The sequence below is a fragment of the Homo sapiens genome, chromosome 5, assembly GCF_000001405.40.
Source record: "Homo sapiens chromosome 5, GRCh38.p14 Primary Assembly".
Taxonomy (NCBI): Eukaryota; Metazoa; Chordata; class Mammalia; order Primates; family Hominidae; genus Homo; species Homo sapiens.
In genome coordinates this window covers 5,442,505-5,465,566 of record NC_000005.10, presented here as the reverse complement: position 1 = coordinate 5,465,566, position 23,062 = coordinate 5,442,505, and the positions used below count along the sequence as shown (strand labels likewise).

Sequence of the window (23,062 nt, the reverse complement as noted above, 5' to 3'; positions counted from 1 at the left end):
AAAGAAAAATTATGTGATAATTTGAAGCTTTGAAGAAAATAATTTTAAGCCTCTAAACATGCCAGGATCAAGTGGATATATGTAATTTTAGTCCTGACAGATACTTTAAAAAAATTTAAGTAATTTAATGAATAGAAATGACCAAATCTCCAGTGTCTTATCATATTTTAAATCTGTAAAATGCTGGCTAGAAATATAGTCGTAATGTTTACATGGATAACTCTCATCCTTGAAGTAAAACTTTTGTTCATGGTCATCTACACATTTTGCTGACAGTAAACAGCATCTGTCTTTGAGGACATGTAATCCCTAATGCACTTAGAAAAGAGCAGCCACATACCTTTTTTGTTGTGCTAAATTCATAAACAACTTCCTTCTCTTGATCTCTCATTACGGGCTTTTTGGAGATATTTCCCACATACACATGACTACGAATGACAGGTAACAGATCAAAAGAAAACTCTGCAATTTTCTTCAGGGCATTAGCTATGGCTTTATCATGGGACTCCACAGTTTCTTTTGGGCTTAAAGGCAACTGTGAAACTGCACTGACGGCTGGACTAGAACAACTTCTTTCCTCATTTGTTGTTGCAACTTCAGCTGGAGGGAGGTTCCCTGGGAGGTTTTTGTGGATTCCTTCTGCAGTGACTCCCCTGGTTTCTGGTTCTGGGGACCCAGTGTCCAGGCGCAGTCTTTTAGCACTTCTCAGTGTAGACGTTGACAGTGTTCTTTTCCCGCTTGAATCCTGCTGAGTCCCCAAATCTCTTGACTTGTCTTGGTTACAGTCACCACCAGAGCTGCTCCCAGTTTTGACAAAAGCAGTTGCTGCTGAAGTGATCGTTTTGAATCCTATCATAGCACTGGCAGGTCCCGGTAAATTCTTACAGTCAGCAGGCGGACCTCGTGTGAGTTGAATATTCCCTTTGAGGATGTTGAGGGTCCGGGCCCTGGCAGATAACTCTGGATACATGGTGTCAAGGATTTTCACAGAATTCTCCTGAGGCCCTCCCACAGCAGCGTGGCCAGATGCACAGGGTGGGAGTCGGCCAGGCACAGGAAGTGCGTGCTTCGGCGTGGCCGCACAGAACTGCAGAGGAGACGGCACTACCCTCTCACTGGCTGAAGCTGCAGATGGAGATGGAGAAGGATCTGGAGGAGAGGCACGTCTGGGGTCCTCTGGCCATGGAGACATGGCAGGAGGCACTGGGGTTTCACGGAAGGGAGAAACCTGGCCAACAGGAGAGGCTGGTGAGGAAGGACTAGAACTCGATATCAGTGGAGACAGTGGCTGTGAAGTCCTTGGAGGTGTAGCTATCAGAGGAGCAAGCAGAGGCGGCAAAGGAGGCCCCACCTCTTGCCGTATTTTACTCAGTGTGTCAGGAGAACAATCTGTAGGAGTGGATGTATCAGCATTTGCTAAAATGGTCTGAGTTTGGCTTCTTTGAGTTTTTGTATTAGCTTTTTCCCCTGAAAATGACTGAGCAACTTCACTCTGATGAGTTTCAACTCTGCTCGACGCTGAAGTTTTTACTGGTTTGTTTGACTGATCTTTGTTTGAAATCTTTGATCGATTCTTATTTTTGCCAGATGGCTCTAGTTTTGAGTTATAATATGTGTGATCAGACGCAACAATCTGAGTCTCGAAGTTTTGATCATAGATTTGAGAACTAATCCATATACTAGGCTTAACGGGTCTATTTCGCAAACGACTCTTATCAAAGTTGGTGCTCTGACCACTGCTTGAAACATCCTCTTGGGGACATGAAAGATTATTGCCACATGGAGCCTCCTGAAATGCAGGGCCAGTGTGACTGGCCTCTGGGGACTTCTCAGCAGAAGTCACTGGGATGCAACCAGCTTCCAGCTCTCCTTGATCCTGAGAAATAGGGATGTCTCCAGGAATGTCACACAGTGTGACCTGGTCCACATGTGGCAAGACAGCTACACCACTGATGATTGTCCAGTTGTCCCCCTTTTCAATGACTAGATTCTGATCCTTATTTATAAGTACGTTTATAACTTCTGAGGTCACTGTTGCTATCTGACACTGAAATGTTGTTTCGGCCTCGCAGTTAGAACTTTGCTCTATGGATGGCTCCATCACAGAGTCAGAGCACAAGGCTGATGGCTCCACAGGTTCTGGCAGGTCTTCTTCCCCACCATCGGTTTGCCTGCCTGCATCTGAACGGGCCTCTGGTCTGCTCTGAGGGTTTTCATTCTGAGGCATACCGCTGATGGGAGAGCTGCCCTCAGTGTCCAAGGCAGCTGCTTGTGGGGTTGGTTCTGAAGCATGTGATGAGGAGCCAGTCGTTTCCCGAAATGGACTTTTCTCTTTTAAATTCTCAGTGGTCATGTTGTTATTTACATTTAAGAGCAATAAACTGCCAGTATCTTTACCATTGCAATCTTCAGAATTTGTTTGAAGTTCTTGCCTAATCTTGGTCAGAACCTCAGACAGAGTTTCCAAAGAACACTGAGTGAGCTGACTTGTATTTTTTAACGAATAATCATCTTCCTCTGATTCAATCCACTCTTCACAGGTTCCAAGTGTTTCTTCCTCACAGGGTTGCTTTCTGTATTTTTCTCCTATTTCACTTGCCTTTAATTCTTTGTTCATTTCTTTACTTAGGGTTCCTTTACTAGAACATTCAGAAACAGAGTCCCCTGAACTATAATCCCCTAACTGACAGCTCTCAAGAAACATCACAACCTCTGATGTGGAAAGTCTATCCAGCTCAGAAAAAGTACTTATGTTAAAATCTTGCAGAGCTGACGTCAAATAACCTACCTCTAAGGAAGGTCTCACCTCGGCTACAGCAGCATCTGTGTCTCCTAAATTTTTCTGTGAGTCATCAGGAGCATCTTGCTGTTCGCTCCCCTCACTGCAGCTAAATGCCTCACTCTCTACCTCAGTGTCGTCTCCCCCCTCTCGAATGCCTGTGTAACAATGTAAGGTACCAGGCAGGCTACTTTGGGAGGTATCCTGTGTCTCTCCATGTTTTCTGCAAAATGCTGAAGAAAAAGTAGTGTCTGTGGTGCCAAAACACTCAGGCAAAGCACCACCGGGAGTTGTAGATTTCAATTTCCAAAGTCCATTAGCATTTTGTGGTGTGCTGGTAGAATCATTTGCAACAGCCAGGGCCTCACCACCAGATCTCCCTGTGTCTCCACAGCTGGTTTCTTCAACAGAAAACCCTCCTGACACAGTCACTTCTGTGGCTGGAAGCATCTCACTGCCATGTGTCCCACTGGAGTCCAGATCTGTGGCCTGAGGCTGCCTTTGCTTCTGCCCATCTCCCTGCACTGCAGCTTCTCTCACAATGTCTTGGTTTTGGATGAGGATATTTTCAGGAGAGAAAGATAATCTGCTATTTGTGGAACAATCAGAATTTTCTACTGGTGAAGAACCACCTGGAGAATTAAAATCTAATTTTCTCCTAGAGGCAGAAACTTCTGGTGAAATGCTTTTCACAGCAGCCACCTCCGTGATGTTTTGTGTTGTATCATCTCTTTCCCCATCACATTTTGCTACAGTTGACATACCGGTTTTGTTGCCACTATTTTCTGTTACTAAGGTAGGCTCAACCCTATGTGGCCTCAAGTGTTCCAATTTGGCACTCTGAACCTTTTCAGGTCTTGTCTGTTTTGTGATAACTGATACTTGATTAGGCAACACCGATGCAGTGGTCTTGAATTCTACAGGATTGTTATTTTCTCTAAGAAGATCAGGCTTGGGTGTTGGTCCTCTATTTTGTAGGAATGGCATTGCCTTTTGTAACTGATGGCTAGTCTTCTGTTCATGTTCTGATTTGGCTCTCAGACTTTCTTCGCCACCTTTCCTTAATAAATCACTATGGTGCCATGAAGTACTTTTAACAAAACCCAAACCACTCTTGATCAAGGCAGCCTGAGAACCTATTAATGATGTGAAATCTGGCTTATTTAGTGTGAGCTCAATTCTTGGATCTTGACTTTCACATTGCCCATCTTTTGTAGCTTTCATAAATACTGACCGAGGAAGTGAATGTATTTTGGTCAAGCCTTTTACTACTTTTGTATATTCTATCCCACTGCTCTTCTGATCATTAAAATTAGATGCTCCCAATTCAGGGCTCAAGGCACACAAGCTATTCTCCAAGTTGTTTCCTCCTATAGAACACTCCGGTGGCTCAGACTGCAGATGTAATGTGTTTAAAGTTTTAGTTTGCAATTTATGTTCTGAATGATGCGGTTCAGTAGAGAATACTTTAGTAGTAATATCTGTATCATTACCACAGTCTAACCCAGAAGAAGACTGGGGATTACTGCCAACAGACAATGCTACCAAGGTAGAAGAGGAAGAAAAACTGGTTTCAATGTCAAGCCCTGCTACATCCATTCCATCACCTGAGTCATCATCTTCTGATTCAGGTGATTCTCCTAAAGTGAACCCTTGAGTATCTTCTTTTTCCTTTTCCAATTCTCTAGATAGTCTGTGAAAATGGCCAGAAACTGTGATACGGTCTGGTTCAGAAGTGATTTCATTAATTCGTGTCCACTTAGTAAACTCTGATTTGGGCGATCCCATCATTTTAGACAATACGGTTTTTCCTTCAGATTCCATGAGTTCATTTAATGGCCTTTTGCCAAGGGGAGAAGAACACAACTCAGACTTCCCAGGGGCAGCTTCCTTCTCTTGTGCAGGGCTGGCAGACAATCTCTCAATGCATAGACCTCGAGTGAGTTTATGAATGGTCTTCTCAGTTTGTACTGACTTATCCATCTCCCTAACCTCCATTTGTGTTTTTGTCTCATGTAAAATGTCTCTTTTTCTATCACTCATGGATCGAGATGCTGTGGTCCAGTGTTTTTCACCAACTAAGGAGTGTGTGGCAGAAGATTCTCTCAGTGTTGCTGTGAAAGTCTCGAGTCCAGAAGTTGTCACTTTATTTACTTCCCATGTATTCAGAGCTTGGATAGCTTCATGTGATTTGGGCTTTTCCTCCCATGTGCCACTTCCTTTATTTTTTCTCAATGAGCCAAAATAATTCTGTGATTCAGTTGTATCATCTTCTGAAACACACTCAGCAGAATTTCTAAGCTGGACTGAGTCATTATCGCTGGAATCTGTGTATTCTCCAAAGTAGGTTTCCTTAAAAAATATGAATTACACTTGTCAAACACTAATTCAACAGATTAACATGACTATCAATTAAATGCATTATTTTTTAAAAGTACACGTTTCCTGAAGAATCTTTACAATCACGTTTGAGCAGGGGCAGGCTAGGAATCTCTGTGGTGGGTGGGGAGTTCTCCAGCTTTGGTCCAACACTGTTCTGCTCTCTCCTTAAGGGTGCCCAGCACCCCGCAGAGACACCTCCCCCAATAACAGACATGCTTCCAAGTGTCACACCCCACTCTACACAGGGTTATGTTTCTCTTAACTTTCAAACATTCCTACTTGCACACTGTTACTTCCCCATCATCTAGTAACAAAGGCTCTGACCCAGGTTGCTGGCCTCTGGCTTCACGGCCCTCTATTTCCTCTCTCTCTGGTGTGTCTGACTTGTGCCCGGTACAGCCTTGTGCAGGGGGGGAGGGACGCTGTCTTGTGGGTATCTCCCACCACATATCTCCTCCCCAACATGTCCTCACAGAGTGCTGCAGCCTGACTGATGTCATCAACCCACCTGTGCTACCCTTACAAAGCTTTCTCCCTCCCAGCCCGTTCTCCAGCCACCTCTGCTCCAGAACCTTTCCCTGACCCCCAACTCGTCTCCTCTTGAGTTAACTGCCTAGAGCATGTGGCCCACTTGGCGTGCACTGACAGCATCAACCACCTTGTCTCTATTCTGTTAGAGAACAGTGGACTGGTGAAGATGAACAGCTGCTGACATCAACTTGCTCCTAGTGAAAGAATTCTTTCCTCTTTTGAACTCCAGAGTACCATCATCTCCTGGCTTTCGTCTATTCTGCCCTTCTTTTCAATCTCCTTTCCTCACACTTCTTCTACTTGTCACTTACATAGGGACGGTTCCCCAGGGTCCTGACTGGGACTCCATCTTCTCCTCTTCCATACTCTTACTGGATGACATCAGAGCTGCATGACTTCCACTGCACTCAAGTGCTGGCAGGTCCTGAACGTCTGTGCACCACCACAGCCTCCCTCCAGTATCTCACCTGTGTACATGCATACCTCATACCTAACATTCTATACATTATTCTCCCAAACAGGGTCACTTCTTATATTTGCTATTTTTCAACATCTTTGACTCCTCCATCTCCCCTAACTGCCACATTAAAAATGTCACCAAATGCTGCTCATTTGACCTCATAACATTTTTCAAACCAGTTCCCACCTCTTTAACACCAATGCCACAACTTAGGTTCAGGTATCAAAAATTAAGTGAGCTGTGGCCAGGCGCGGTGGCTCACGCCTGTAATCCTAGCACTTTGGGAGGCCGAGGCAGGCAGATCACGAGGTCAGGAGAGCGAGACCATCCTGGCTAACACGGTGAAACCCCATCTCTACTGAAAATGCAAAAAAATTAGCCAGGCATGGTGGCGGGCGCCTGTAGTCCCAGCTACTCAGGAGGCTGAAGCAGGAGAATGGCGTGAACCCAGGAGGTGGAGCTTGCAGTGAGCCGAGATCGCGCCACTGTGCTCCAGTCTGGGCAACAGAGTGAGACTCTGTCTCAAAAAAAAAGAAAAAATATTTTAAGCGAGCTGCTTATTAAGCCGCTACCCTGCCTGTGGTCTTGTCTATTTTCTGACTATCCCCCCACTCCCTACTCATTCATATTGAAATGAAACTTTCAAATAAAAATCTATCTTTCAGTCTATGTCTTTGGATTCATCAAAGATTTCCCCCTTCAGGATAAAGTAGGAACTCCTTGGGAGGATGCACATGGCCTTTCCCAGTGTCACCTGCATGAATCTACCACACACAGAGCTCACCCTTGCTTCTACATTCTTGTGAGAACAGCTCCTCCACCTGAAGCAACCCCACTCACACCTTAAAACTCAGTGTGGGGATTGAATCTTCAGAAGAATCCTGCCTGCCCCGCAACCTGCCCTGGCCTCCATTCAGGACTGAGCTGCTTTTCTTTATGCTCCCAAGCAGCGTGTTTTCCACCACTGCAGGGCTCTACACAGCAATGAATCTGTTTGCTCCTTTACTGCTCCCACCTCCACACAATGAAGCCCACTGAGAGGCAATGGCATCTTTCGTCACCTCTGCACACCCAGTGTCTAGCCTGGTCCCTGGAACATAACAGGCACACATGGTGTTTTCATAAAGAAAGAAACTGATTCCAGGAGCAAAACACATATCTGTTCCTTAAGCCAAAAATATATACATCTGCTTCATAAAGACTAACTTCCTAAGAAACTACTGTAAACCATTCCGCAAACACACAAGATGATGAATTCATCAAATAAAGGTAGAAAACTCGGCTACACCAGGTTAAGGGGCATGGATGCTATATACATGGATTTTCCTGTCACTATATAACTCCATGTATACAAATATGTGTTTAATTCAGTCATTCCATATCAAGAGATAAAAACAATTAAGACACAGCCTTCCTATAGAAAACTTGTAATTTGGCTGTGGATAAAGACTAACAAAAATGCAACCCTAACACAAAGTGAAAAAGTACATATTATATATGTTGATCCAAAGGGTAGTGGCATGCTTTTTAAAAACCTCATGTTACCCCCTAACAAAATTGGCTAAAATGAATAATCTGTGCAAGAATATCACTAATATCCTTTGAGCATCAAGGACATATTAGGATAGACAATGTACCCACTTGGTAATTCAAATTCAGAGAGCAAAACTCACAGGTGCAAATGAAGACGGTAAGGAACCCGGGTGAGGTGATGACATCGGAGGGGGCGAGGGCACTGGTGACAGAAGAGGAGGGGGAAGTTTGAAGAAGTCAATTGCAGCTTGAAGATCTTCATCAAAAAAATGATCATGATCAACAAATTCAGTACTACCACCGTCACGATGACTTTGTACTAAAACCTCAAGATTTCCATTCTCATTAAAAACATGGTCAGAACTACAATTTGTTCCACTGGAGCTCTGTTTTTCCACATTTTGACATAAAAAGTCCTCCTTTATCTCCATGGACAGTTTTGTGAGGCATGTCTGCACATTTGAGGTCCTGAGAGGGCTGCCCTGTGTTGGAGGTAGCGTACCATCTTCCCCAGGCACTCTGGAGCTGGTGATTGCTTTGGCAGGTTTTTCTATGTGGGGGAACAAAAGTAGGTATCAGGTATTTACAATATCAAGAAAACTTAAAAAAAAAAAAGAAAGAAAGAAACCTTATTACAACAGTTCAAAATGCTTGAAATATTAAGTCCAAGTAATTTTTTAAAAGGCAACCAATCGCTTTCTAAACATTATCCTAGAAAATCAATACATTTCATACAAGTATGCTAGCCTTGCAGTAAGAAAAGTGAGACAGACAGGTGAGATGGACCGGTGGGTGGATGGATGACACAGCTGGAAAGGCATCCACAGCCATGAAAACGGGCCTTGCTGGCTCACTCGGTCTCTGGATGAATCCTCCCATACAAACAGCAGAATCTGGCAGAGAAACAACTTTGTGCCTATAGGTTGATACAGAACACTATTTTCTGTCCAAAAAGTGATTTGAAATCAACTAATATCAAGCCTACCCACGGCCAAATCTGTACAATGCTCTCTAACTGAAAGATCTGACGAGGTCTATGAATACTCAGTATGATAATGCAACAGAAAAGTTCCTATAAAAACCTAATCCTGGTCTTGATTTTGGTGAACTTCAGTGGTACTATTAACAAAAACATTTGATTCCATAACCATTTATTATATTTGCCAGCTTTAAAAATAAGTTTTATAGAGGATCCAGGGCTCCTTGGATAGGCGGTTGATTATCGGGCTGGGAAGCGAAAATCCAAGCAGAGATGGAAACATCTTGCGGTACCAGAAGTAAACAACTCAAAAAAAAATGGAGTATTTATGAAGGACCCAGAGCCAATCTGAACAAGCTCCCACCAAAGCTAAAAGGATAGCAATGAATTATTATTTACGAATAAAATAAATATCTATGAGACTATACTGATGTAAACAAGTAATAAATGGTAGATAAGGAACAGCTCTTCCTTACGTAAGAATTCCAATTAATGAATGCAGATGGAATGAGACAAATAAAAAATCACTATTTGGCAAACACTAAAGCAGTAATTATAGCAGGCAAGATCTACTGCTGTAGGCCAAAATCAGCAGGTGACAACTGGAAAGAAACAGAATATTTGCACAATGTTAAAGAATCTTTCTCAAGTTGATTCATTAGGAAAAAAAGAGTAACTTTACAACATAAAAACTTGCAGATACCACCTTACCCAAGTGCTCAAGGTTAGAGCCCAGTGATAATACATATCCACATCACCTATCCCTAGAACAACTCCCTGAGCAAAGAGAAACAGCACCACTGTGACGTTCTTGCCACAAATATACAACCTCAATCTGACATGAGAAAACATCACATAAGCCAAAACAATGGGCTTTCTACAAAATTATTCTACAAAATAATATTCTCCCAAAGTGTAAAAGACATGAGAGATTAAAAAAAAAACAGGAACTTTTGGACTGGAGGAGGTGAAAGCAAGATGACTACTAAAGGCAACGTGGGTTCCTGTACTGCATCCTGGAAAGAAAGGAGGATTCCTGGGGAAAACTGTGGAATTCACAGTTTAGTTAATAGGGCTGTACCAAACGTCCTGGTTTTGACCATTGGTAACTGAAAATGTTAAAAATCCTGCAATCTGCTAAGGGATCCATGGGGATTCTCTGAACTATTTTTGTAACCATCCTCATATGAAAATAAAAAGTTAAAACAAAAGAATATGTCTTATGGTATAATAAGATTCCAAAGATACCATGTTTTCCCTTCTACTTTGGAAAAATTAACGTAATATATTTACCCCTCAAAAGCATATTTTTAAATACAAACATTAGATTATGAAATGAAGAACAGCTCTTTTAATAACAGCTTGACAACATAAAATCAAATGCTTAAAATAGAATGCTGATTGATATAGAAGGCCAAAAAGCATCCCTTGGTTGCTTCTGCCTAAACAGATGAATTGATAAATTATGAACTGAGGTGACTAATTTAAGAGTTGCGGGCACCATGTGGTTAATACCAATGGGTACCTGGCAGGTGAACTGAGGGAAACATCTACTTAAAGAAACCCCATCAAATATGCCTCCGTACACTCGACAAGTTCTGAGTCCACCATAAGTAAGAATCAGTAACTTGTCCCTTAACATTTTTTCCAACTGTCTTTAGAAGCCTGAGAGGAAAATAAGGTGGAGGTTTCCATAGATTTAGAACCTCAATGACCTGTGAATTTACAGCAGCTAATCAAAAGAAATTAGTAAAATGACAAAAAGCTAAATAAGAAGCACTTTAATCTTATACAAGACAGCTATCTGCTCCCCTTCTACTCAGGACAGCTAAATCGACTATAACTGTGAATGTGCTAGAATGCCCCCATGATACTCTGAGAGTCAAGATGTTCAACCAAAGGAACTGATAAATTACACTAAAAATAAACGAAGCTAAAGTGCTCACAGATTGATCAAATTCATGAAATGATTCAGAAGAAACTGCATCCTTCAAGTATCCCCTCTCCACCTGCCAGATATGCCTCTGCTACTTGACCTTCTCGTTTTTTTTTGAAGGTTCTCTGATGAAAGCTAAATGTATTTACTGGGATTAACATTCACACTGAAGGGAAACGAGTTTTGTATAATTAAAAGTACCCATTCTAGTTTACTTCATTCTTTCAATGTTAGAATCAGGAGCTATTAAAAAGTAACGGCTGCTATGCCTATGGTTAAGCTCTGTACTTTCACATATGAAATCGGTTTCTGTAAGCTTCTCTCTCACCTGGGACACACCTGCTGCCTTCACCAGGTAGTCTGTGTGTTGTGTTTACACAGAGCCAGAGTTCCTTCAGAAGCAGTTTCACTTTTCCTGTGAAACAGAGCAAAGCATTAAAGTCACGTCATTTGGCTCACCGTACACAAGGCCAGAACATACTTCTGTGAAATCAGGGTTTATTAGGGACTTAGAAAATTACATATACATCTTCCCCAAACTCAACCATTGTGCACAATACAGTCAGTTACTGATAAAAAGGTCTGCAATACTTAAGCTAAAAATTGAAGGCTGAAGGTACTTTTGTTTGCTTTTTTAAAAAAAAAATTGGTGGCAGAGGCAGGGGATTCAAAAGACCATGTGTACTTGCTGTGAAAGGCTTTTATTACCTCTTTATGTATGCATGGGACAAATGAATCTTTGGCCCACATATTTTCACCAGAGAGTGCTTTGAGATGGGGGAAGGAAGCACAGTTAATAACTGATAAGGGATCTGGGCTCTATGTATTTTACAAGGAGTAGAGAAGCATCCCTAAGTTATAAGAGGTTATCAGAAAAGTCACTAGACTTAACCATGCTGTAATTAACCTGGGGAGTTCAGGGATTACAGGTAATCCATCAATGGACTTGAGGGGAGACGGTACGGGAATGTGTGCGTATGAACATATGGGTAGGAACCGATCATCACACACACGAGCAGACAGAGAAGCACATACTTTTATAAGGAAAGTAAAACCTTTGGAATTTTTACACATTTTCAAAGAGATGTAAATTCCTAAAATAGTTAAGAACCAGTAATTCAAATTGAAAGGCCAAGGGATGCTGTAACTAAGACAGCCCTAATGAAATAAATGTAACATTAAGAATATTATACTATGGTTTTAAAGCTTTTCTACATTAATACAAATTTCAAAACCTTCTAAAGCAAAAAGTATTTATGAAAATATAACTATGAATAGCTTGTGGTGAAATGTGCATAAAAAGACAACCCACACGAATTAAAATTCAACTAAAAGTAGCTTAAGTATATGTATACAACTTTCAGGCCACCTAAAAAGTTTTATTAGAGTTTCCTTGAACTTAAGTTTTTTAATTAACCTTAAGCATTTACTGATATTAGTGAAATCTTTACTCCAGTTCAAGAGAAGCTTAAAAGACCAAACTTTAAAAACCCAAATGTCTCAGGGAATCACAGATTTTGTAAGAGATTAGCTCTACTTAAGCTGGCAGACTGCATCACTTCAAAAAATGAAGTCCACAGAAAGGGGCAGGACAACTGTGGAGGACAGTTCACGGGTAAGTGTGAAAGGCTGGACACTGCCAACTCTCCTGAGCCAAAACAACCTTCTGATTGCCACTGTGTGTGAGCCATATCCATTTTTCAGTTCCAAAATTCTGTGATCGAGTAGCTTATCTACATTGTGATATAACCTACCCAAAAGCCTGCTTCCAAATACTGTAATCCCCTTTGCTTAAATGACCTGACCAGGATCCCTGCTTATTACGTATACCCAAAGCAGCAAACAAGGAACCTTAAAAAAAAAGAAAAAAAGTTACTTTTCCATTCTTATGGAGGCTATCATCCAGAGCTATGCCTTTGTAACTGAGCATTCATTACTGCTAATCTGACCCAAAAAATAAATAAATAAAAGCACTCTATTCCCAACAAAGCAGAAAAACATCTTCAGCGTTAACTTCACACTTAGTTGTGAAGACAACACCTCCTTCAAGTGAATTGCACAACTTTCCCTGATCCTTTAAAATTCTGCCTTTATCAAACTCTAAGGCATGTATGAATATTTAAGGACTTACATATTTATTTATTTAATTTATTTTCTACTTCATTGCTTTGTCATTTTCTGTATCCATACCACACTTCTTTAATCAGGGTAGGTTACTGAATATCTGTTAGAGCGTAATCATTATTCAGTTTTCTCCTGTTGAAAAATTGTATTATTCTGAACATACACTTTTCCCTATAAACCATCTGCTTGTGCTCTTCCATAGAAAACATCTATGGGACTTTGAATATTTCTGTATATTTATAAATACATTTGGGGAAATTTTACATCTTTATGCTTTGAATCTTCTCATCCAGGAACATGTTTATGTACTCAGGTCTTCCTTAACGCTTTTAAGGAATGTTTCAGTTTTCCTCAGAAACACTGTATACTGCTTTCAGGTCTTTTCTTAGACATCTGCTGGTTCAGGTGCCACTTGAGAATGGGTTGTTCTTATTCCATTCCTTTTCTAACAGGTTAATAACGGTACAATGTATATGTTCATTGTATATGCCAGCACTTTACCAAGCTCTATTACTTCTAATTCCAACTCTGAGTCTTTTAAATTCTCTACATTAGTAGTATCATCTGAAATAATGACAATTTCAACTTTTCTTTATTAGTATTCACAGATCCTACTCTTCTGCATTTATTCTGTTGCACTGGTTCAGGCCTCCAGTACAAAAAAAAAAAAAAAAAAAAATGGAACAAACAAAAAGCATGCTTGCCTTGTTTTTGACAGTAATAACTATACTTTGAATGTTTCACCTTTCTCAAGTTAAAATTTTTTTTCCATTACCTCATCAATTTTTTGAAATTGGGACTACGTGCTGAATTGAGATGATCACAACATTCTCTGACCCAGCTGTAGTATTCCTGAGATAAATCTTCAAGCATAATTTGTCTGTACTCTAAATTTGTGGATTTAATTTCTTAAAATTTTATTTGGTATTTTTGCAGCTATATTAACAACACAAGAGTCCTGAATCTTGAGAACATGTGTGCATGCTATTTGATTTTGGTACAGCATTATGCTAGCCTAAGAGAATAAAATGGAAACATTCCTTATTTTCTAAGTTCTGAAACAAAAAAATTAATAACAGAGACACTAGTTTTTCACTGAACGTTTACAAAGCTCACCTATAAATTATCCGGATTTATTATGGTGTTAGATCTTTAACTATTGTTAAAAATTTCTTCCTATTTTTTGTTCAGGTTTGTAGCAATTGTTCTGAGTCAATTTGAGCATGTTTTCCTTGAAAATGGACCATTCTACTTACATTTTCACATCTGAATATGAACTTGTGAATTATGAAATTTCTTGACTGTAGTTTTACCTGTTTCTCAATCCTGGTGCTGTTTTTCCTTCTGTTTGTTTGTTTAATCAAAGTTTACCAAAGAGTTGTTGGTTTCACTAGCATTACAAAGAACCAGCTATCAGATTTAATTGTCCTAAATCAATTGCTTTGTTTCCTATTTCATTAAGTTTGCATTTTCATCAATTTTTTCTTTCAGTTAAACACTTCATTCTCCGTATTTATTTCTAAAGTGACAATGTATCACGTAAGGCCTTAACATATTCCTTTGAATAGTGAAGGAATTGGCTATATCTTAAAGATTTTAATAAATATTGCCCTACTGTTTACTTTCAAAACAGTTTAGTATTTCAATTCTTATTTTCTCTGTTACCAAAGAGAGGTTTTTTGTGTGTCTTATGTGAGTTTAGTTATTAGGTAAGTTTTGCAGGTTTTGTTTTTGCAGAGGGAGGGGGATTTTTATTAAAAGCTCATATTAAATTGTAGGTATTTTTTATTGTTCACTTACTAGTCAACTTTTATACATTTGAAAAGTATTTTAACAAACTCCAGGTGTGTGGTTTACAAACAGTTGTATATAAATTATCCATTTGGAACTGTGATTCCAATTCCATCCCTTGTCTGCTTTTGCTCTCTCTTTCTAAAAAACATTGTGAAGTCTCTCACGACGAAAATAGATTTGGCCAGTCCCCCTAGATTTCCAAGAGTATTGCTTGACATCGTTTCACACTCTTAGGTACATACTAGCAGTATCTTCATGGCAAACTATACTTTTAATCAACATTTCAATAATGTAAATTCATTTCTAAGCTTTTATTATTTTTTACCTTACATGACTGCTTTAATGTCAGCATTGCTTGGAATATTTTTATCCATCCCTCTAATATTCAGTCTGTTTCATTTGATTTTAGGTATATTTCCTACGAAGGTGTCAGAGACGGAGACTGTACACAAAAATCACGCTCAACACTTGGTGGCCCCTATGAATATGAATATTCCATGTGTTCTCTGCTCAGGAAAGTTCCCTTCTGTCATGTCTTGATCACCTTCTCTCCTTCTGTTTCTGTTCTCCCCTCTGAGAAGTCCTAGGAGACGCATATTGAGACATCTGGCTCTATCCTCCAAATCTTGTTATTTTCTCTAATATCTTTAATTTGTTTGTCCCTTTGTATGATGCTCTCAACCGCCTAGGATTCAGTCTCTAGGATCAACTTAATTGATCTTTTATTTGTTCATCCAGTATTTCCACCTTTCTACTGGGTTTATTTATACAATTGGATTTTTAATTTTCAAGATCCCTATCTGGTTCAATTTCATAGCAGCAGCCTATGGACATGTTCTTAGACTTTCTCTAAAGGAAATGCAATCAGTTTTCAGCATTTCCTTCTCATTCATAATTAAAGACTGTTTCTCTCAGTCTTCTTGCGTCTGTTGCTTTTCTCTTTTTTCTCACTGCTTTTTCTCTAAGTTTTAGATGAGAGTTTAGGCAGAACATCTTTGGCAGACAAAGTGTATTTCTTCAGCCTACATTTTTAGTGCTATTCCTTCAGCAGTAAATGTAGATTCTCATTTCATAAATCTGTGGGACCCTGCCTTGCAGGGGAAGCAGTGGAAAGTGGACGCAGTTGTGAGGGTTTACATGGAGTATATAAACATCTTGTTTTCTGGGAAGAGGAGGGGCTAGCCCTTAAAGTGGCCATAATTACCCAATTTTCTGATATCCACGCCCACTCTGAGGAGCTCCATTGTCATAGCTAAAACTTTAGAAAATGAAACTGGGGCCACAGTTTATGAGCAAAGGCCAGAAACAGTTTTTGAAACCAGAAGCTTGGCATTCCTTTCACCCTTTAATCAATTACCTGGCAAAATGCTAATGTCCTGCTCCTTCTCCCACTCCCTGCCATCTCTGATTTGGGGAAACTCGCAGCTTCTGCAATGAAAACTTACTTTGTGAGAGCTGCTATTTTCTCTGCAATTGCGGGTTTCATCACCAATTGATACTATCTGCTGTGCATCTTCCTCATTTCTTCTACTGATGGTAATCTTTGTAACTATCCAGGAGTTGCTGCTGTTTTTGTTTTTTTTTTTTCCGGTCGAAAATTTTTGTTGGAATTTTAAAGAAAAGAAAGGCAAAGTAGCACTCAGATGGCCTTTTTTTGTAAAGTGAAGTCAACCTAATACTCTGGTGCTTACTTTGCAAATCTTTTCCATAAGTCAAGTATTAGTGTTAACAATACACTTAAGAAGTAAGGATAAACCCATCAAGGTCCACAGCTAAATAACCAGCAGATTCCCAGAAACTTTATGTATTTGGGAAAAGTAAAATATACAACAGACATATCCCTGCCCTGATTAAGAGGGTAGATAAAAACAAAACATAAAACAATTTTACTTGAGATAGTAATAAGTTATTTGAAAAAAATACAACAGAATATAGGGAGAGAGAGCAACTACAGAAAGAAGACAGAAGGGTTCTGCTTTGAATAGTAAGGCTTGGGAATAGCTGAATTGTAAAACAAATCTGTCAGTCCAAAAACGAAGATAATTCCATTCAACCGCTGACTACTGAATGGGAAAGCAAACGTTGTCACGTCTTCTATTTCTCTCAGCAGTAACTATTACTTAAAGTCTCACTTTCCATACACAAGAGACAAAGAATCTAGTCAAAAGCACATGGAATCATATCTAGTCATAGTGGTAGGTGAGCAATCAATGCCCAGGCAGCTGAAAGGTGGGAACTGTTAAAGCCTTACACCAAGGAAAACATAAACTTGTACTCTGAATTTTAAAAAAAAATTAAAGAAAAAAAGGTAAAGGTGACTTCTAAAAGAGACACCATATACCTGCACACAATTTAAATGTTTTTAATCATTTCCACTTGGAGAAAAAAATAACACATTAGTGAGATGAAATACCATTATTTACTAATTAAACATTTTAAATGCATCCCCACAAAAAACCTGTGAGATAGAGCAGAAATTCAAATTCATATTTCCATTTTTAAAAGGAAAATGAAAATACAAAAAAAGGAAAGTAAATGGCAGAGTCACACAACAAATGGAAGGATGGAAGTGAAAATTCTCATTTCTCACCTTCTAGAGTTATGCTTCTCACCTATGAGACGTGGCGCTCAGTAACGCAGTGTGTGTCCACATTTGTATGACATTCCCTTGTTCCGTGACCACCACTTTTCTTTGCAATTGTGGGCCTTCCCTAAACTTTTCTGTCTATACTATATAGGGCTTTACTATATAATATACTATAAGGCTTTAATTCTATAGTTTTCCTGCCTGACTTTAACATTTTCTTATATACTTGGTACCCAGGAAATTTAATAAATTAATTTGATAAATTATAATCCAGAGAAAAAAATCTGTATTCATTAATTGAAAAAAGCAGATGTTATATCTCCAACTAGTTTTCCTATCCCAAACAATATTGATTTTTGACTCTTTTATTCACTGTATTATTTTATAAGACAATAAGCTGATTATATTTGGATCTAATGAAGACACAATAATATATGACTTCTACTAAAACGAAACATCTACTAAGCCCTGGCACTTTCACAATTATATGTAGGAGCAAAACACAGTCTCACAACCCACTAAGAGCAATACACAACATTAAAACAAAAGTTGCAATATACTCACTTTTATCTATGCTTCCATATGAATCACTTGAAATTTGTGTTCCAATATGTCTCAACTCTAAAAGCATGGGGAAAAAACGGTTAATAAAATACTACATATCAAAAATAAATTTATGTAAGCATTAACTGAATACTCACCCTTTTCATTTTTCTGTTTAGAAAATTCGTCAAGCCTTTCCTGTGAAAACAAAATATTAATAGTGTTTATGCTGAATAAGAAGTGCAGCCATTCTAGACCAAATGTAAAACAGGTGCAACTTAACAGGCAGCTGGGACTGTTTTTGCCAGGGGGCCTCATGTTGACTCCTACGTGAGTTACAACACAGAGACACTACAGAGACCCTGGAGCCACGTATTTAAGGTGTGTGTATGCTGCTTTTATCTAGTACCTGTGTCTTCTTAAATTCCTTTTCAAGTATTTTCTTTTCATTTCTCAGTTGCTTGAAGTCCTGAGTTTGCTTGACAGCAGCCTCTTTAAGTCCAATGAAGCAATAGGGAGAGAAAAATAATTTACTAACTTTACTACTGTGGTTAATGAAATACTCAAAATCTTATCTATTACAAGTTTTTCTCATTTCTTAAAAGTTTGAAATAAATTTCGTAAAAAGCCATTGCTCCTTCAATATTTTATCGTCAGGGCTGAATGCAATGTACTTTTTTCTTTAACTGTCATTTAAACCACAGAACTAGCGCAGGCCTTAAGAATTCTTTCCAAACCAGGCACAGCAATCCCAACCCCTAGTTAAGGAAGAATTCAAGGCATAAAAGGGAGTTGCCGTCCCATTTCAATCACTGGCAACCTTAAAGTCCTAGAAATTTTAGAAATGTGATTTTATCTCAGAATATAGCCTCTTTATTAGGGAGGGGAGAGGCGATTTTCTCAATGCTTATTATAGATATGGTTATTCTTCCCTGGAATTCTCTTCAACAAGTTAGCTAAACATAATCCCTAGGACCTTTATTAGAGATCTATTTTAGGTAATCCTTCATTTTCATTTTTGTTTCTGAAGCCTCAAATGGTCCAGACATACTATTAAGAATCTGACCAGTACTGACTTTACATAACTATGCTCATATACAATTACTAACTAAAACTCCATGAAACACCTCAGTAACAATCCTCTCCTGACTCCTCTAACAAGTTTGGATATTTTTTTTCTCAGTAATCTTTATTAAGTCACACCGATAAATTTTTTTTACTAGAAAAACTACTTTTTATACACGAAAAATAAAGGCGGCATTTTGCTTCACAGAAAGTCTGTTCTAAAACCTGTATATATAGTCTCACTGGCACTTCAGATTTCTTTAAAGATGTTTCCTTGCAGTGGCTCACGACTGTGATCCCAGCACTTTGGGAGGATGAGCAGGTTTCTTGAGCCCAGGAGTTCAAGACCAGCCTGGGCAACATAGTGGAACTCTGTCTCTACAAAAATTAGTCGAAATTAGTCGGGTGTCGTGGTGCACACCTGTAGTTCCCAGCTACTCAGGAGGTGGAATAATCACCTGAGTCTGGGAGGCTGAGGCTGCAGTAAGCCATGACTGCACCACTGTACTCCAGCCTAGGTGACGGAGTGAGACCCTGTCTCAAAAAAATAATTTCCTTGGCTGGGCACAGTGGCTCACACCTGTAGTATCAGCACTTTGGGAGACTGAGGCAGGAGAATCACTCAAGCCAAGGAGTTCAAGACCAGCCTGGGCAACCCTATCTCTACAAAAAATTTAAAAGGCAGGTGTGGTAGCACACACCTATAGTCCCATCTACTCTGGAGGCTGAGGCTGGAGGATCACCTGAAGGCAGAGTTACCATGAGCTATGATTTTGCCACTGCACTCCAGCCTAGGCAACAGAGTGAGACCTGTCTCTAAAAAATAAAAGCAGTGGGCCAGGCGCGGTGACTCACGCCTGTAATCCCAGCACTTTGGGAGGCTGAGGCAGGCGGATCACCTGAGGTTAGGAGTTCAAGACCAGCCTGGCCAACATAACCCCATCTCTACTAAAAATATAAAAAAGTTAGCCAGGTGTGGTGGCACATGACACATAGGCCCAGCTACTCAGGAGGCTGAAGCAGAACCCGGGAGACAGAGGTTGTAGAGAGCCGAGATCACGCCACTGCACTCCAGTCTAGGCGACAGAGCGAGACTTCCTCTCAAAAAAAAAAAAAAATTCTTTTTTAAATAAAAAATGTGGCTGGGTGCAGTGGCTCACACCTGTAATCCTAGCACTTTAGGAAGCTGAGGCGGGCAGATCACTTGAGGTCAGGAGTTCGAGACCAGTCTGGCCAACATGGTGAAAGCCAAAAATTAGCTAGGTTTGGTGGTGCGTGCCTGTAGTCCCAGATGCTCGGGAGGCTGAGGTGGGAGAAACTCTTAAATCCAGAAGGCAGGGGTTGCAGTGAGCCGAGATCGCACCACCTGTCCAGCCTGAGTGACAGAGAGAGACCCTGTCTCAAAAAATAAAATATGATAAATAAAAAATTTAAAAAGTTTAAAAATTAAAAAAATTTTGTTTAAATACAATAGACACTTATCTCCATATTCTTACAAGAGACACCAATACTTAGAACACAAAATATCATTCTTACTGCCATATTGTCAGTATTCATGCAATAATCAAACCAGAGGAAAAATTGTTACCGAAATATTTAGAGTTCCAGTCCAAAAAATTTGGTTCAATCAAGAAAAATTAGTGACTAGAAATACTTTCCGCAACTATTATTCTATGTGCCCGGATGTAACTAAATTCAAACTCTAACTTCACGCTCTAAATGAACATAAACCATCTCTGAAGTAGAGCACTAGCAAGATAATGGGTCAGAAACCCATAGCAGGTAAGATGCCCGCTGCAGTCCAGGCTGGAATGACAGGAAGATCGTGTGCAGGATGGATCTGGCAGAGCCCCTTTGTCTCTACTTGGTATTAGGTCTGTGTCCCACCCACACAATGAAGGGAGGAAAAAGCAAATAAAAAGATCTTGAGTTCAATTCCTACCAGTTCCTGAAAGGTTATTAGCTGAAATGTGAGGACTTAGATTCTCGCATGGTCCCTCTGCACTCGTACCTACTCACTGTAGGCTAGAACCCCTAACAAGAGGGTGAGGCACGGGTGAGGATCAGGTACAAACTGGACAATCCCTAATGTACAAAATTTCATCGAAATCTCTGTATGTGTGTTATAACTATCTAAATACATGTTTCTTGGTACTAAAAGTAGCCACCCTTTCCACCAGCTACTTATTTCATTAAGAAAAAAAGAAAAAGCCCTATGAGATTCAACTTTCCAAATTAAATTCTTTCATTAATTACTGCTTTTTATAGCAAAAGTATGGGCTGCGATTACTTTGAGTGCAGTAACATTTCGGAGATTTGCCACATTCCATCTCTATGTTACCATTTGGTAACTGAGAGGAGAGTAGTATTCACACTTCTTTCTAATAGACCCCTTGATGCAGTCATCCATGGATGTACCATCAAAAACCATAACAATTCAACTATTTGATCAAGAAGTACCTCCTCATACAGTTACCAGTGATTTTTGTACTGACCGAAAACTTCAGGTAACAATAGTGCCACTTACCTTGCAGCTTCTTCACCTTAGCTTCTAGTTTCTTCTTCCTAATAACGAAATTGTGTAAGTTAAATGGCAAGAAAGAGAGAATAGGAAAAAATATGCCTTATAATTTGTGGCACATATTTTTTAAATTACAAATATTTGTATAACAAATGTTCAGTCTGAACTAGTATCCTAAGAGAGAATAATATACTATTTAGTATGAAATATCTTTACAGTGGATTAAAAAATTCTGTTCTTTCCACTTGAAACACATGCCATGGGCCTGTCAAATTTCTGCCATGAGTACATCTGGGACCCTTCCTGAACTGCAGTGGCATCATTCATGAGACTAGCTGAAGTTTCTAGATGGTCTCTAAGAGTCAGTCCAGAGTCTAATGAGTTAAGGTTACTCTTCAGGAGCATGCATAGCGTTAACAGTGGTCACAGCACCACCGTATGGAAAGCAGTGGTTGAAGAGCTACACTTGCTTTAAGATGGATTTCTGAGAGTCTGAAAAGGTGGATAACTCTCTGAGTCACTGCTTCATTACATCTACATTCAACTGTTTTATGTATAGCTCACATTTGTTGTGAATAACATGACTATAGTATGAACCTCAATGATCAAGGGGATGCTTCTGAACAGCCCTTTTTATGAATAGTAGCAAAGATACCCATTCCACATGCTATCGGTTAAAGCACTGGCACAAAGCAAGGGGTCAGTCATTATGTTCTGACACACAGACACAAGTGAATGAGTACATAATGCATTATATACACAGACAAACACCTTTAGACACACACAGACACATGTGCATGCAAATATAATGCATATACATACAGAGACAAACACCTTTATGGAGTTCTTTGTGCAGCCCTTTAACATATGACAATTTATTTAATGTTCCTTATGACCCTTCAAAGTAGATATAACTTCCAGTTTACAGATGTGGAAACCAAGGTTGAGAGACTAACTAGTTCAAGACCATGCAGCTAATTATGGCCAAGAAATCCAAAGACTGTAAAAAAAAAAACACTACCGACTTAAGAATTACGTATTTTCAAAACTGAAAACCGTATTTCTATAGTAATTTAGTAACTACTTACTGAGCATCACTCTTCAAGCATTCTTCCTTTACACGAGCATATTCCTGATGAGTATCCTGATACAACTTTAAAGAACTCTTTAAAAAAAGAAAAAAAACAGATATTGTCAAAATGAAAGTCACTGACCATTGGTCATAACTTGCTTTGCCTTTGATAAGCTATTAACCAAATAAACAGACATTAGGCAGAAAAAATAGTCACTGAATATTTTAATAGAGGTAACCAGATTCTTAATAGATGAAATATGACTAACAATATAATCCAACAAAAACTATAAAACTTAAAAACAATATACTAATTTTATTGCAATTCTAAACCTTCATAATTGGTTTAAATATCAAACAGCTAATATTTTTGCCTCAACTAATTAAAATTCAACATATCCTGAAAAAATATTAGAGCATAATAAATATGAGCTAACGGTATTGCTAGGGAAAATTTAAAACAAATCATTATACTTAATGATAACTGGGGAAAATGTGTGAACACTGATATATACACCCTAGCAGCTACTATAAAATGGGAAAGACACTGTTATTGAGAGTTCTAGCAGGGTATGATAACTATACATTTCTTTAATCTCAACAGCTCTGAGAGAGTTCTTTAATCTCAACAGTTTCATTATTCCTTTTTTACAAATGAGGAATCTCAGGGTTTGACAGGATGACTTGCTCTTCCAAAGACAGTAACTGAACAACTAATGAGGGTTATCATTAAGGTCTAACTCCAATGTTCATGCT

At 39.3% G+C, this 23,062-nt stretch overlaps 1 protein-coding gene across 4 annotated transcripts in view; it reads right to left on the bottom strand.

Annotated features, from left to right (window-relative positions):
* The window catches only part of ICE1 (interactor of little elongation complex ELL subunit 1), a 67,544-nt gene that overhangs the window by 24,654 nt on the left and 19,828 nt on the right, over positions 1 to 23,062 (bottom strand). For 3 of the 4 annotated variants that reach the window (NM_015325.3, XM_011513999.3, XM_047417047.1), the window contains exons 6-13: positions 22,323 to 22,399; positions 21,241 to 21,278; positions 18,058 to 18,140; positions 17,807 to 17,846; positions 17,670 to 17,726; positions 10,929 to 11,015; positions 7,826 to 8,235; positions 341 to 5,131 (exon numbers count right to left, since the gene is read on the bottom strand). In NM_015325.3, coding sequence (NP_056140.1) covers positions 341 to 5,131; positions 7,826 to 8,235; positions 10,929 to 11,015; positions 17,670 to 17,726; positions 17,807 to 17,846; positions 18,058 to 18,140; positions 21,241 to 21,278; positions 22,323 to 22,399 — 5,583 coding nt within the window. The remainder of the gene's footprint in view (positions 1 to 340; positions 5,132 to 7,825; positions 8,236 to 10,928; positions 11,016 to 17,669; positions 17,727 to 17,806; positions 17,847 to 18,057; positions 18,141 to 21,240; positions 21,279 to 22,322; positions 22,400 to 23,062) is intronic. The other variant, XM_047417046.1, reaches the window with a different exon arrangement.